This window comes from Homo sapiens, chromosome 17 (assembly GCF_000001405.40).
Source record: "Homo sapiens chromosome 17, GRCh38.p14 Primary Assembly".
Lineage (NCBI taxonomy): Eukaryota > Metazoa > Chordata > Mammalia > Primates > Hominidae > Homo > Homo sapiens.
Window position 1 is genome coordinate 17199394 of NC_000017.11, and position 12452 is coordinate 17211845.

The 12452-nt window shown below is 52.6% G+C and overlaps 1 protein-coding gene across 2 annotated transcripts, besides 6 other annotated features; it reads right to left on the minus strand.

Annotated features, from left to right (window-relative positions):
• PLD6 (phospholipase D family member 6) lies at positions 1602-6940 on the minus strand. Of its 2 annotated transcripts, none has more exons than XM_017024310.3 (2): positions 6471-6940; positions 1602-3705 (listed from the first exon to the last, which is right to left on the minus strand). In XM_017024310.3, the coding sequence occupies exons 1-2, from the start codon at positions 6891-6893 to the stop codon at positions 3358-3360; spliced, it is 771 nt and encodes a 256-aa protein (XP_016879799.3). In that variant the 5' UTR covers positions 6894-6940; the 3' UTR covers positions 1602-3357. The 2 variants fall into 2 exon arrangements, with proteins under 2 accessions (XP_016879799.3, NP_849158.2); NM_178836.4 differs by having other exon boundaries at positions 6467-6940.
• Positions 5959-6078: an enhancer, noted in NCBI's record as "active region_11793". NCBI's record gives its function as "activates an Ori minimal core promoter by ATAC-STARR-seq in GM12878 lymphoblastoid cells {active_cell/tissue: GM12878}" and the evidence as "EXISTENCE:reporter gene assay evidence [ECO:0000049][PMID:35858748]".
• Positions 6599-6718: a silencer, noted in NCBI's record as "silent region_8235". NCBI's record gives its function as "represses an Ori minimal core promoter by ATAC-STARR-seq in GM12878 lymphoblastoid cells {active_cell/tissue: GM12878}" and the evidence as "EXISTENCE:reporter gene assay evidence [ECO:0000049][PMID:35858748]".
• Positions 6739-6788: a silencer, noted in NCBI's record as "silent region_8236". NCBI's record gives its function as "represses an Ori minimal core promoter by ATAC-STARR-seq in GM12878 lymphoblastoid cells {active_cell/tissue: GM12878}" and the evidence as "EXISTENCE:reporter gene assay evidence [ECO:0000049][PMID:35858748]".
• Positions 6909-7158: a silencer, noted in NCBI's record as "silent region_8237". NCBI's record gives its function as "represses an Ori minimal core promoter by ATAC-STARR-seq in GM12878 lymphoblastoid cells {active_cell/tissue: GM12878}" and the evidence as "EXISTENCE:reporter gene assay evidence [ECO:0000049][PMID:35858748]".
• Positions 7134-7973: an enhancer, noted in NCBI's record as "H3K27ac-H3K4me1 hESC enhancer chr17:17109841-17110680 (GRCh37/hg19 assembly coordinates)". NCBI's record gives its function as "activates a minimal SCP1, AML or CMV promoter by ChIP-STARR-seq in naive H9 embryonic stem cells {active_cell/tissue: H9 hESC(naive)}" and the evidence as "EXISTENCE:reporter gene assay evidence [ECO:0000049][PMID:30033119]".
• Positions 7199-7248: a silencer, noted in NCBI's record as "silent region_8238". NCBI's record gives its function as "represses an Ori minimal core promoter by ATAC-STARR-seq in GM12878 lymphoblastoid cells {active_cell/tissue: GM12878}" and the evidence as "EXISTENCE:reporter gene assay evidence [ECO:0000049][PMID:35858748]".

Sequence of the window (12452 nt, forward strand, 5' to 3'; positions counted from 1 at the left end):
AAACAAAAACCCTATAGAACCAACATAGTGCTTTAAAATATGGCATCATTGCATTGGTTCATTCCAACAACCTAGGAATATTCAACAGTGTGGGCAGACTGTTAAGGGCATATGGTACTATCAGAATTTTTTGTTTGTTTTGAGACAGAGTCAAGCTCTGTCACCCAGGCTGGAGTGCAGTGGTGTGAGCTTGGCTCACTGCAGCCCCCACCTCCCGGGTTCAAGCAATTCTCCTTTTTCAGCCTCCCGAGTAGCTGGGATTACAGGTACACACCACCACACCCAGCTAATTTTTGTATTTTTAGTAGAGACGGAGTTTTGCCATGTTGCCCAGACCGATCTTTTTTCTTTTTTTGAGACGGAGTCTCGCTCTGTGTCTCCCAGGCGATCTCGGCTCACTGCAAGCTGGGCCTCCCGGGTTCACACCATTCTGCCTCAGCCTCCCGAGCAGCTGGGACTATAGGCGCCCGACACCACGCCCGGCTAATTTTTGTATTTTTAGTAGAGATGGGGTTTCACCGTTTTCAAGCTGTATCACTGCCCGCATAGTTAACAACATTGAATCCAAACCACTAAGCTGATGAAAGCTCATCCCAGGAGACGAGGGCAATTAGAGGGGAATCTTCCTAGAGCCTCTTTTGTGACTGCTGAGCCTACTTGGCAAATTTATTACTTCTTTTAAAGTTTCTCTCTGAGAGGAGCCAAGACAATCTTGTAGGCAAAAAGAGGCTTCAGGTGACACACACACTACACAACCCCCTCCCCAGCCCTCATCTTCAGCGAGCCCCTGCCTTCTAGCATCACTCGCCTCAGGTGTTGGAGCAGAGGCCGGCGTGCAGTTCTAGGGTCTCCTGGGCATGCCTGCCTGTTACTGGCACAGCAGTCTTTACGTGTGGGCCAAGGATCTTCTATACTTTTAATAACGTCTTCCAAGATCGGGTGTCTGATGAGCAGGCACACCCAGCACAGTTTCAACAAGCAATTTATCCCCCAGTGTGCAGGCTCCTTCCTTACAGGCTGAGTACTATGGGGTTACAATCTTCCCAGACATTGCTTATTGGTTGTTAGGCGGGGGCTTTAGGTATTTTTTTTTTAGGGTTGTCTTGCTGCATTTTGTTACAGCCCACAGTGCATTGCAATCTTAGTCTGCTTAGGGGCTCTTCAAGTATTTGACTTATGACCTAAGTAGCTAGGCCAGCTGGTAGGAAGAGACAAAGCGAGCTATTTTGCAGGCCAGTAAACTTTCATTTTAAACTTTTTTGGTTCGGGTGAGGGCAACCAAGGAAGGGGGAAGGGGGCAGGCGGGGAAGCCGATAAGGCATCGGCTAGCCTGAGGGGCCTAGTACAACCCGTTTCTTCCGTAGTTTGCTGACCGAAGCCGATTCAAGGCACTTTGTCTTAAAAATGGACCACCGTATACCTTATTTCCTTCACCCAAATAACAGCTTAAAGTTTTACTCCTCTTTGAGTCTCCTGTTCTTTGACCAACAGTTTCTAAATAGCTGTATACTGCCCCCCCCCGCAAAATTATATTTAACAAAGAGGAGCCCCTACTTGAATGATTTAGCAGCAAGCTAAGGCAAAGACACCCAGCGCTCACATTCCAGAATAAGAACATGTTTATTCAGATGTGCCAGAAGTCCAGGGTCACGCGGCTTCGCATTTAGGAGATGCTTTACAAGCTCTCCCATTTTCTTTTCAGAACATACACTGGGGGAATTCACAAACTAAAACAATTTCTGGTGACTTCCAATCTATATATTATACTTTACAGCTTCAATTGAATTTTTTTAAAAGTTAACTTCCAAGCTGGCTTGCCTAACACTGTGAGTCAAAAGTAACCCTAAAAAGGAAAAACACACAGCACTGAAGGGTCTCTGGGTGGTAATGCCAGCGTGGGCTGGGGAGGTGAGACTAAGCACATGGCTAGCAGACCTCAGGATGGGCCCTGGGGCTCATCATACAGAAATATGACAAGATGATGAAGTCACAACTTCAGATGTCATCGGAGCTATCTGTATATGACACACACATTATAAACAAATAACCTGGAACATTTCACAGTGTACGACACCTGTTCTACCTGGGAATGCAAACCCTGAGCTGCAAATAAGAACACAGACGTGGGAGACACCACGGCCTGAAGCTGCTCTCCTCTTCCCCGCTCTCCTCTCCTCCGGTCCCGTGATGGGTTACGCTGAGCCAGCAATGTGCACGCACTAACTCCACAGGTGTTAAAGGTAAGGTCACTTCTAAACACACAACAAAATTACCTTAACATTAGGACATTAAAAGTTAAAAGCCCGGCCGGGCATGGCGGCTCACACCTGTAATCCCAGCACTTTGGGAGGCGGAAGTGGTGGATCACTTGAGGTCAGGAGTTTGAGACCAGCCTAACCAACATGGTGAAACCCTGTCTCTACTAAAAATACCAAAAAAAAAATCAGCCAGGTGTTGTGGCAGGCACCTGTAATCCCAGCTACTCGGGAGGCTGAGGCAGGACAATCGTTTGAACCCAGGAGGCAGAGGATGCAGTGAGCCGAGGTTGTGCCACTGCACTCCAGCCTGGGCCACAGAGTGAGACTCCATCTCAAAAAAGATAAATAAATAAATAAATAAAATAAAAAAAGTTAAAAGCCCAACATAGAAACAGCTGCTGGCCATCAGTCCTGACAGACCACAGCACTTACTACCCAAGGACAGGCTGCTGAAGAGCTTGGCACTGGCGTGCATACTGGTTTTAAAGAGCAATTATGCAAGGAATCAAGGGAACAGCCAGCCTTTGGTGGCAATGACGCTCACGGGGTTGCCCCGAAGGCTGCTTTTGCCACCCGCACCGCACACTCACATCTTCCCTTCCTCCTGACTTCCATTTCCTTTCCTTACTCTGAGGACCGAGCCCTGACAGGGGCAGACTGTGAGGGACAAGGAGACTGTAGGCCCCAACCAACCCCAGTCGTGCCACATGGAGAGAGGGATGAAATCTCAGGGAGATGCTGAAAGGGCCCACATCAGCCAAAGCAGGAGGGACTTTTCTAGAATCAGGGAAGGGAATGGGATCGACCTGGAAGAGGCACTGTGCCTTTTCTGTGCTGTAGCAGAAGTTTCGATTCCAAACCAAGATACGGACCACACTCATGAAAGCACCCCGTGGCAGGTCGTGACTGAAGTTATTTTGGCAAAGGAGCAAGAAAAAGGTCTGGCCCGAAATAACTGACCCGAAGTAACAGAAATTTCCCTTTCCTAACCTTCTTTAGTTCAATTTAGTATTCTAATAGACGAGACTTTAGTTTAACGATTTTTTTCTAGTGCCGAGGTCTCCCTCCCTCAGAACGCACAGCAGCCCGCAGGGAGGGCTCAGCCCCATTCTTGGTTAGGTTTGGCTTTCGCTGGAGGTGCCGCAAGTTCTGTGCCATGAAAGCAATCTCCCTCCAGCTCTGGAGACAGGTGGGGCACAGCTTCCGTGACTTTTCTTTGGTGGGAAAAAGGTATACTTTGTAGGGTTAAACTGTTCCCAGATGCGCTCAAATTCTTCCAGAAAAAGCCGCACGTACTCGTCGTCCTCCGTGATGAGAACATTCTCCCTGTTGTTCTGGATGGCTTGCGTGGTCCAGTTGAGCGAGCCAGTGATGAGCACCCTCTTGTCCACGATGGCAAACTTGTGATGCATGTAGCCTGGGTCTTGATCGTGCCGGACCTGGATCCCTGCAGAAAGGACAAGGTGATTTCATTCCATGCAGGAGTCCCGCCCCCAGTGTGGACTGTTCCTGGGGGCTACTGGCTTTACTATATGTTTCCAGTTTGGTGGGCCAGGAAAGCCCGCCATGCTTTCACAGAGTGGTGGCGGCTAAGCTCCCAGGAGGGACGCTGAGAACCACAGAGGGGACATCACACACAGGGCCAGAGCGTCACACACAGGCTATGGGGGACTGGGCAGGCCGTGGTCTGGGTGAGGCCACACCTCCGAGTCTATGCCAGCCAGTATGTCCCTTCGGGGTTACTGCTTGCTGCCAAGGCTGTCACTAACCCAGTCAGAGGTGACCAGGGCAAAGACAGCGTGTGAGCCTTCAGGTTCTGACTCTTCCACAGCTAAGGCTGAGAGCGTGCCCACTCTGCCCAGAGAGGCCCCGGCGTCTGAGAGCAGAGCCCAATTTGCTGGCACAACCTCGGCCACCAAGGCAGGAAGGGCCCTAACTAACAACGCACAAATGAATTCTCCTCTTCCGCACCCCCCTGCTTCCTTCACCAAAGAACCAGGCATCCCGGCCTCTGCTCTTCCCAGCTTTCAAACTCCTCTTGGGAAGGGCCTGTGTCTGTCTCCCCTGGAATAACACTGCCTCACTCACGACCTGCTTAAGGAATGAGGCCGTCAGAAATGGGGCTTAAAAGAAGTTTTAAACAGGCTGCCATGGAACACAGTTGCCAGATTTTCCGAATCAAAATACAGAACATCCAAGTTAAATGGAATTTCAGATAAAGAGTAATCTTTGAAGGGAAGTGTGTCCCATGGAGTACTGGGAACATACCCTAAAAATCACTCCCTGTGCATGGAACTCATATTTAATTGTGCCCCCTAAATTGGGCCTGGCAGGATGAAGACGTGGTGGCTTCCTTACCTCGAGGAGCCAGCCCTTCTTCTCACACTCTGGCCACTCCTCTGGCACGTCCTGTCGGCACAGCCCTCCAAACACATTCCTCCACACGGTGGGCAATGTAAAACCCCACCATCGCCCACACCTCCTGCCTCCGCTGGGATCCACTGCCCACCTCCCCGTCCCCTCCCCGCGGCCTGCCACCTCTGGCCACAGGGGACTTCCTGCCCTTCCTCAAAAGGAAGTCAGTCTGTGACCCAGGGCGACTGTGCTGCTGCCCCTTCCAGCCGCATGCCTCTCCCTCCGAACAGTCCACTGGTGTCAGCAAGGTCCCTGCCCTGAGTGTCACTGCCCCTGGGCAGCTGACCTGGCCCACGCCACTTCCTCCCACACCACTGCCTCCTTACCCTGCTTTATGAAGTTTTCTTGGCCCTTCTCAGTGCCCTAAATGAAATATTCATGACTTAGTTGGCATCTCCGTGGCAACCTGGCCTTGTGCCCTTGTGCCCTAGGATGTTCCAGCTCCTCACAAATACTGGCACAGAGGGGACATTCCTTGAACAGTGAATGCCACTGGACAGCCTCGAAGTCAGCGAGGATGCTGGGAGGCCATCCCAGAGGGGATCCGATGGGACCTTGGTCTAGGGGCCCTTGAAGGGTCTTCACCAACCTCAGCTTCTACGACTGTAAAAGCAACTCAAACAGAACTGTACTGTGCATGCCTGGAGGTCCCCAAACCTCCCGTTAAAATGACCAACACATGGGAGGACAGCTCTTGTGGCTGCCCCAAAGAGAAGGAGACATCCTCAATATGAAAACCACGTGCCCCACTCTGCTCCCACATGGCGTGCAACATGCCCCACACCACCCAGAGCAGGGAGGGACCCTGGCTGACTCTGGAGAGGCTGCTCTGAGGCCCAAGTCAACAAGAGGCTATGGCTGTGCAGAAGGAACAGCGCGGCGGTGACCACTGCCCAGCCTGGACAATTCCCAGGGCTCCACACATCTCTCGGTCACTGCGACCACCAGTATTATCAGATCCAACCGTTGCACGTGCAGGCGTGACTTTCTGGGTGCCTGAGTGATGGAGACAGAGACAGGCCCAAGAGTCTGTGAGTGCAGATACACAAAAGGCAACAGCAGGCTGGGCCGCCGAACTGGGCCAGGATGGACTGAGAATCCTCAGGTGGGACAAGGATCCCAATTATTCACATTTCCTGGTCCCTTCTGTCCCCACCCCATGAGAGAGGCGCCCCCGCCAGAAATATGTGTTCCCCTCCTTTTGCAGCTGGGAAAACAACCGAATGTCCTGGCGCTGCTTTCTAGAACATGTTCAGGTCTCCCAGAGCCCAGTGGCCTGAGATTCACTGGGCAGCAGGTGGCCGCCTCTCCCCAGAGCCCTTCAGTCTGGAAGTCCAAGCACAACCCTGGCGTCCAGCTCCCCTGCCACCAGGATCCAGGTTACCAGAGGCCGTCCGGGGATCTCCGGCAGCGTAGGAGGGCGGGCCCGGGCTGCAGCAGTCACGAAAACTCCGCCGGCGGCGCCCGAGGAGTTGCTAGGGGAATCTGCTCCGCCTCTAACCCGGCACACGCAGGCCCACCTGCTTCCAGCATGCCGGGACAGTTCACTGAGAGAACCGCCCCCACCGCGGAGGCACCGAGGGTCCGGCTCGCTTATGCCCACGCAGCCGGCTAGACCTTCTGTGGGGGCTCTGCTTTCTCCGCGTTACACCACCCCGACCCCACAAGGCCACGAGGAAAGTAAATGAGGCCTCAGCCCGTCCCCAGACCCCCTCCCCTAAGTGTCCACCTTTGCGCCTAGGACCCCGCGTGGGCCAAGCCGGCCTTCTCCGCTTGGACCCCGCCGGGCCTACCTGCCTTGCGCAGCAGACCGATTTGCGAGCCGTTGAGGGCCATGTAGTCGCAGTCGGTGACGACCCGCACTCGCACCCCACGCTGGTGCAGCAACTGCACGGCGCGGCCCAGCTGCGGGCTGGAGAAGGCGAACAGGCAGAGATCCAGGCTGGCGCGGGCGGCCAGCAGGGCACGCAGCAGGCGGCTTAGCGCGCTCTCGCCGTGGGGCAGGCCGCACGGGCAGCCCTCGGGGAGCTCGGCCAGCTCCGCGCCCGGAGCCCGCAGCAGGGCCTCGGTACAGGTCACCTGAGACGGGAAGAACAGCGCCTCGCGCCGCGGCCGCCGCCGCCTGGACCGCAGCCAGCGCAGCACCCAAGGCAGCGCCTCCAGAGTCAGAGCCAGGCCCACAGCCGCCGCGGCCGCCACCTGCCAACTCAACCGTCCCATGCCGCCGCTAATCCGGGACCCACAGCCACGCCGCCGCAGCGGAGTCTGCGCGCCCCCAGCCCTAGACCGCCAGGCCACGCCCCCGTCACGCGCCGCCAGCGGCCATGTGCCAGGCCACGCCCAGCCCCCCATGGCCACGCGCCAGGCCACGCCCTATCACGTCCTGCCAATTGCCACGCACCAGGCCACGCCCCCGTCACGCAGCGCCAACGGCCACGTGCCAGGCCACGTGCCAGGCCACGCCCAGCACCCATGGCCACACGCCAGGCCACGCCCCCGTCACGCCCCACCAACGGCCACGTGCAAGGTCACGCCCTCAGCCCCCGAGGGCCACGCGCTAGGCCGCGCCATGCCCCCACAACTGTCACGCACCAAGCTGAACCCACGCCTCCCATCAGCCCGCCCCCAACCCTCAACAGGTGACCACGCCTCCCTCCACGCGCCAGGCCACGCCCCCTGCCACAGACACCCTCCACCCCCCAACGCCAGGCTGTGCCCCCCATTTTCCTTCCAGCCAGGCGCTCGGCCACGCCCTCCAGGTTCCACCTCCCACCACGTGCCAAGCCACGTCCCCAAGCCCGCGCCACCAGGCAGCACCTGCACACCCGCGGGCCACGGGCCCTAGCACACCCGTCACCTGCCCAGGCCAGAGACCGCTCTCCGCGCTAGAAGCCACAGCAACCCCGGCTTTCCTCGCATGGAGCACAGCAGAGCTGCTCTGGAAATGTGGGGTCACACCTTCACTGTCTTCTCGGGAGCAGCTAGGCTGGGCTGGGGAATGACCTGGGAACACAGATAATCAGGGAATCAACACAGCTGGAGGCAGCATTGGAACCCAGCATACTGGAGGCGGTGTCGGCCCAGAGGTTTTTTCCTAGCCCAAGAGGTTTTTTCCAGCCGGCGTTGTTGGAAGGCCTGCCCTGCTTTAAGCATAAACAGAGGAAGAGACTAAGGCAGCCGAGGGCACTGGGCCGGGGGCATAGGGAAACGGGGCAATGTGGTGGTCTGGGCTGGATCCTGGAACCGAAAGAAGACATTCACGGAAAAACTGGTGAGAGCCAAATAAAGTCTGGAGCTTAATCGCATTGTACCAATGTCAGTTTCTTAGCTTTGACAAATGTATGAAAGGAATGTAAAAGGTTAACAAAGGAAGCTGCGTGGGGGTAAATGGATCTCTCTGTTCTATATTCGAAACTTTTCTGTAAAGCAAATTATTCTAAATTAAAAGTTTATTAAAATATTAAACTTGCACCTTCCATATGATCCAGCTATCCCACTCCTAGGAGAAAGGGCGGGATCCATTAACACAAGCACGTGTCCTGGCAGGCGTATGTGCCTAGAACAACCCAAAAAGGCGTCAGCAGGTAAACAGGTAAATAAGCTTTTGTATATCTGTACAAGGGAATGCTATTTAGCAATAAAATAGAATGAAGTGGCCTGGCACGGTGGTTCATGCCTGTTATCCCAGAACTTTGGGAGGCTGAGGCAGGAGGACAGCTTGAGTTCGGGAATTCGAAACCAGCTTGGCCAACATGGTGAAACACTGTCTCTACCAAAAAATACAAAAATTAGCTGAGTGCGCTGACGTGCCTGTGATCCCAGCTACTCGGGAGGCTGAGGTGGGAGAATCGCTTGAGCTCTGGAGACTAAGGTTGCAGTGAGCCAAGATCATGCCATTGCACTCCAGCCTGGGTGACACAGCAAGACCCTATCCCCCCCCCACCAAAAAAAAAAAAAAACAGTACTCACATGTGCTACGACGTGGATGAATTTCATTAATATTGAGTGGGAAAAGCCAGACAAAAAGAGTACATACTGTATGATTCCATTTACATAAAATTCTAGAAAATGCAAACTAGATTGAGGGAAAGCAGACCAGTGTAGCCTGGAGGCCAACAAAGCCACAAGGAAGTGGAGTGATGGATGTGTGCTTATCGGGTTGACTGTGGTGGTTTCACAGGTATATACATATGTCAAATTGTATGGTGTAAATAACTAAAAATGTATGTCAGTGATTATGTCAATAAAATTCTTTTTTTTTTTTTTAAGACGGAGCCTCGTTCTTTCGCCCAGGCTGGTGTGCAGTGGTGCGATCTCGGCTCACTGCAACCTCTGCCTCCGGGGTTCAAGTGAGTCTCTGCGTCAGCCTCCCGAGCAGCTGGGATTACAGGCGCCCACCACCACACCCGGCTAATTTTTGTATTTTTAGTAGAGATGGGGTTTCACCATCTTGGCCGTGCTGGTCTCGAACTCCTGACCTCGTGATCCACCTGCCTCGGCCTCCCAAAGTGCTGGGATTACAGGCGTGAGCCACCGCACCCGGCCTTCTTTTTTTTTTTTTTGAGATGAAGTCTCGCTCTGTCGCCCAGTCTGGAGTGCAGTGGCACGATCTCGGCTCACTGCAACCTTCACCTCCTGGGTTCAAGCAATTCTCCTGCCTCAGCCTCCCAAGTAGCTGGGACTACAAATGCACACCACCACATCGGCTAAATTTTTGTTTTTGTATTTTTAGTAGAGACGGGGTTTCATCGTGTTAGCTAGGATGGTCTCGATCGCCTGACCTCGTGATCAGCCTGCCTCGGCCTCCCAAAGTGCTGGAATTACAGGTGTGAGCCACCGTGCCTGGCGAATAAAATTCTTAACAAAGAAAAAGAACACTTGAGTTTAGTGCTGGCTCCCAGGCTTCCTAGCTGCATGGTCTAGGGCAAATTGATTCATCTCTTCTGAGCTTCACTTTCCTCATCTAAAACGATAATGAGAGGAGGGACTTGGAGTTGTGGAGGTATAAAGAAGGACTCAAATCCCTCCAGAGAGGGATAAACAAAAATAAAACTGGGGGAAAACAGTTTTCAAAAACAGCCACTTCAGGGCTGGAAATCTACCAAAGGCAGACAACAAAATGAGAAGCTTTATTTGATTTTTATTTATTTTTTGTCTTCCAGTTTCTATTTTTAACTTTGTCGGTATATAGTAGGTATATATATTTATCGGGTACATGAGATATTTTGGTACAGACATGCAATTTGTAATAATCACATCAGGGTAAACAGGATATCCATCACCTTAAGCATTTATCCTCTTTTGTGTTACAACATTTAGTTATTAGTTTATTTATTTATTTATTTATTTGAGACGGAGTCTTGCTCTGTTGCCCAGGCTGGAGTGCAGTGGTGCGATCTCAGCTCACTTTGCAAGCTCTGCCTCCCAGGTTCACGCCATTCTCCTGCCTCAGCCTCCCAAGTAGCTGGGACTACAGGTGCCCGCCACCACGCCCAGCTAATTTTTCGTATTTTTAGTAGAGATGGGGTTTCACTATGTTAGCCAGGATGGTCTCGATCTCCTGACCTCACTATCTGCCCTCCTCGGCCTCCCAAAGTGCTGGGATTACAGGCGTGAGCCACCGTGCCCGGCCTAGTTTTTTATTCATTTATTTTTCAGATGGAGTCTTGCTCTGTCAGCAGTGACGTGATCTTGGCTCACGGCAACCTCCGTCTCCCAGATTCAAGCAATTCTCCTGCCTCAGCCTCCAGAGTAGCTGGGATTACAGGCACCCACCACCACGCCCGGCTAATTTTTGTATGTTTAGTGGAGACGGGGTTTCACCATGTTGGCCAGGCTGGTCTCGAACACCTCACATCAGGTGATCCGCCCACCTTGGCCTCCCAAAGTGCTGGGATTACAGGTGTGAGCCACCGTGCCTGGCCGTTTGTGTTTATTTTTTATTTTTTGAGACAGAGTCTCGCTTTGCTGCCCAGACAGGAGTGCCATGGGGCCATCTCAGCTCACTGCAACCTCCACCTCCCTGGTTCAAGCGATTCTCCTGCCTCAGCCTCCTGAGCAGCTGGGATTACAGGTGCCTGACACCACGCCTAGCTAATTTTTGTACTTTTAGTAGAGATGGGAGTTCACCATGTTGGCCAGGCTGGTCTCGAACACCTGACCTCAGGTGATCCGCCCACCTTGGCCTCCCAAAGTGCTGGGATTACAGGTGTGAGCCACAGTGCCTGGCTATAATAACCATTTTAATATGTGTGTGTATGTCATTAACATCATGTCGTATACCTTAAATATATACAATTTATTTTTTAAAAGCTTATACAAACTATATTATCAGATAAGGGGTTAATTTCCACAATATATAAGAGCTCAAGTGATTCTCCTGCCTCAGCCTCCTGAGTAGCTGGGACTACAGGCGTACACCACCAGCCTGGCTAATTTTTTTTTTTGTATTTTTAGTAGAGACGGGGTTTCACCATGTTGGCCAGGCTGGTATCAAACTCCTGGGCTCAGGTGATCCTCCTGCCTCGGCCTCCCAAAGTGCTGGGATTACAGGCGTGAGCCACCATGCCCGGCCCTGAGTGTAAGTATCTTGAATGTAAAATCAGGAAACCCTTGACTGCCTTCAAACACATGGGGAAGGTTCAAGATCTGGAACTTGTTTTCTGTCTCTTCCATTTTGTGAAAAGCTACAAAATCAGGAACCCCTATTCCCTCACAAGGACAGCAGAGTCTGGCCTGGTCTTGGGCTGGCATAGGTTCAGCTCAGCCTCCTGCTCTTCTGCACTCATGACCAATAGGAAAAATCTTCAAGAACTGCATGCCTGTGGGGAGAAAAAGCCCACAGCTGCCTAGAAACACCAGTTGGCAGCTGGGTGCGGTGGCTCACCCCTCTAATTCCAGCACTTTAGGAGGCCGAGGCGGGCGGATCACGAGGTCAGGAGTTCGAGACCAGTCTGGCCAACATGATGAAACCCCATCTCTACTAAAAATACAAAAATTAGCCGGGTGTGGTGGCATGTACCTGTAATCCCAGTTACTCGGGAGGCTGAGGCTGAATTGCTTGAACCAGGGAGTCGGAGCTTGCAGTGAGCCGAGATCACACCACTGCACTACAGCCTGGCAACGGAGCAAGACTCTGTCTCAAAAAACAAAAACAAAAACAAAACCACCAGTCGGCATAGGGCCTTGCCTGCCCCCTCGCCAGCAAGCTCTGTTAGACATGGGAAATCCAGGTCACACATGCCCCTGAAGTGAATGCAGAGCTAACTTACACTGGGCTCCTACTTGCCAAGTGGATTCAGCCACTAGACTGGCAGACAACTGGCAAAAACTGAGCATAGAACCACGTTCCCAGGAATGCCATGCACGAGAGAAAGACAGGAATCTGTACCCGAAGCCGGGGAGGACAGTGGGTGGTCATCTCTCCCTTGACCCACATTGGCCAGGGGGTCCCCTCCCACTCGAGGTAGATGACTAAACCGTGAACCTGCTGTTTTAGGGATTGCCACGGTCACCCAGGGTGATTCCAGCCATCTTCCTCTCAGATGGACATGTCTTTTAAATATCATCATTATTAAGGGATGAGCCATTTCTAATGCTGAACAAAATGAAAAGCACATGGGCATAGGTACTCAACAGATGTCCTTGGGATAAATGAGTGTTTGCTTCTCTCCAACACCAACTCCAACGACTAACTTGGAGAAGATTGTCTACGATCATTATAGCAGCTTAACTGTGCGAATTGGCCACTCACTGGTATTTTGTTTTGTTTTTTGAGAT

Bases quoted from the DNA above. Each gene is read 5' to 3' on its own strand.
- PLD6 (XM_017024310.3), bottom strand. From the start codon at position 6,893: ATGGGACGGTTGAGTTGGCAGGTGGCGGCCGCGGCGGCTGTGGGCCTG. The intron at 3,706-6,470 runs GCAGGTAGGCCC...TCCTTTCTGCAG, and splicing joins AAATCGGTCTGCTGCGCAAG to GGATCCAGGTCCGGCACGAT.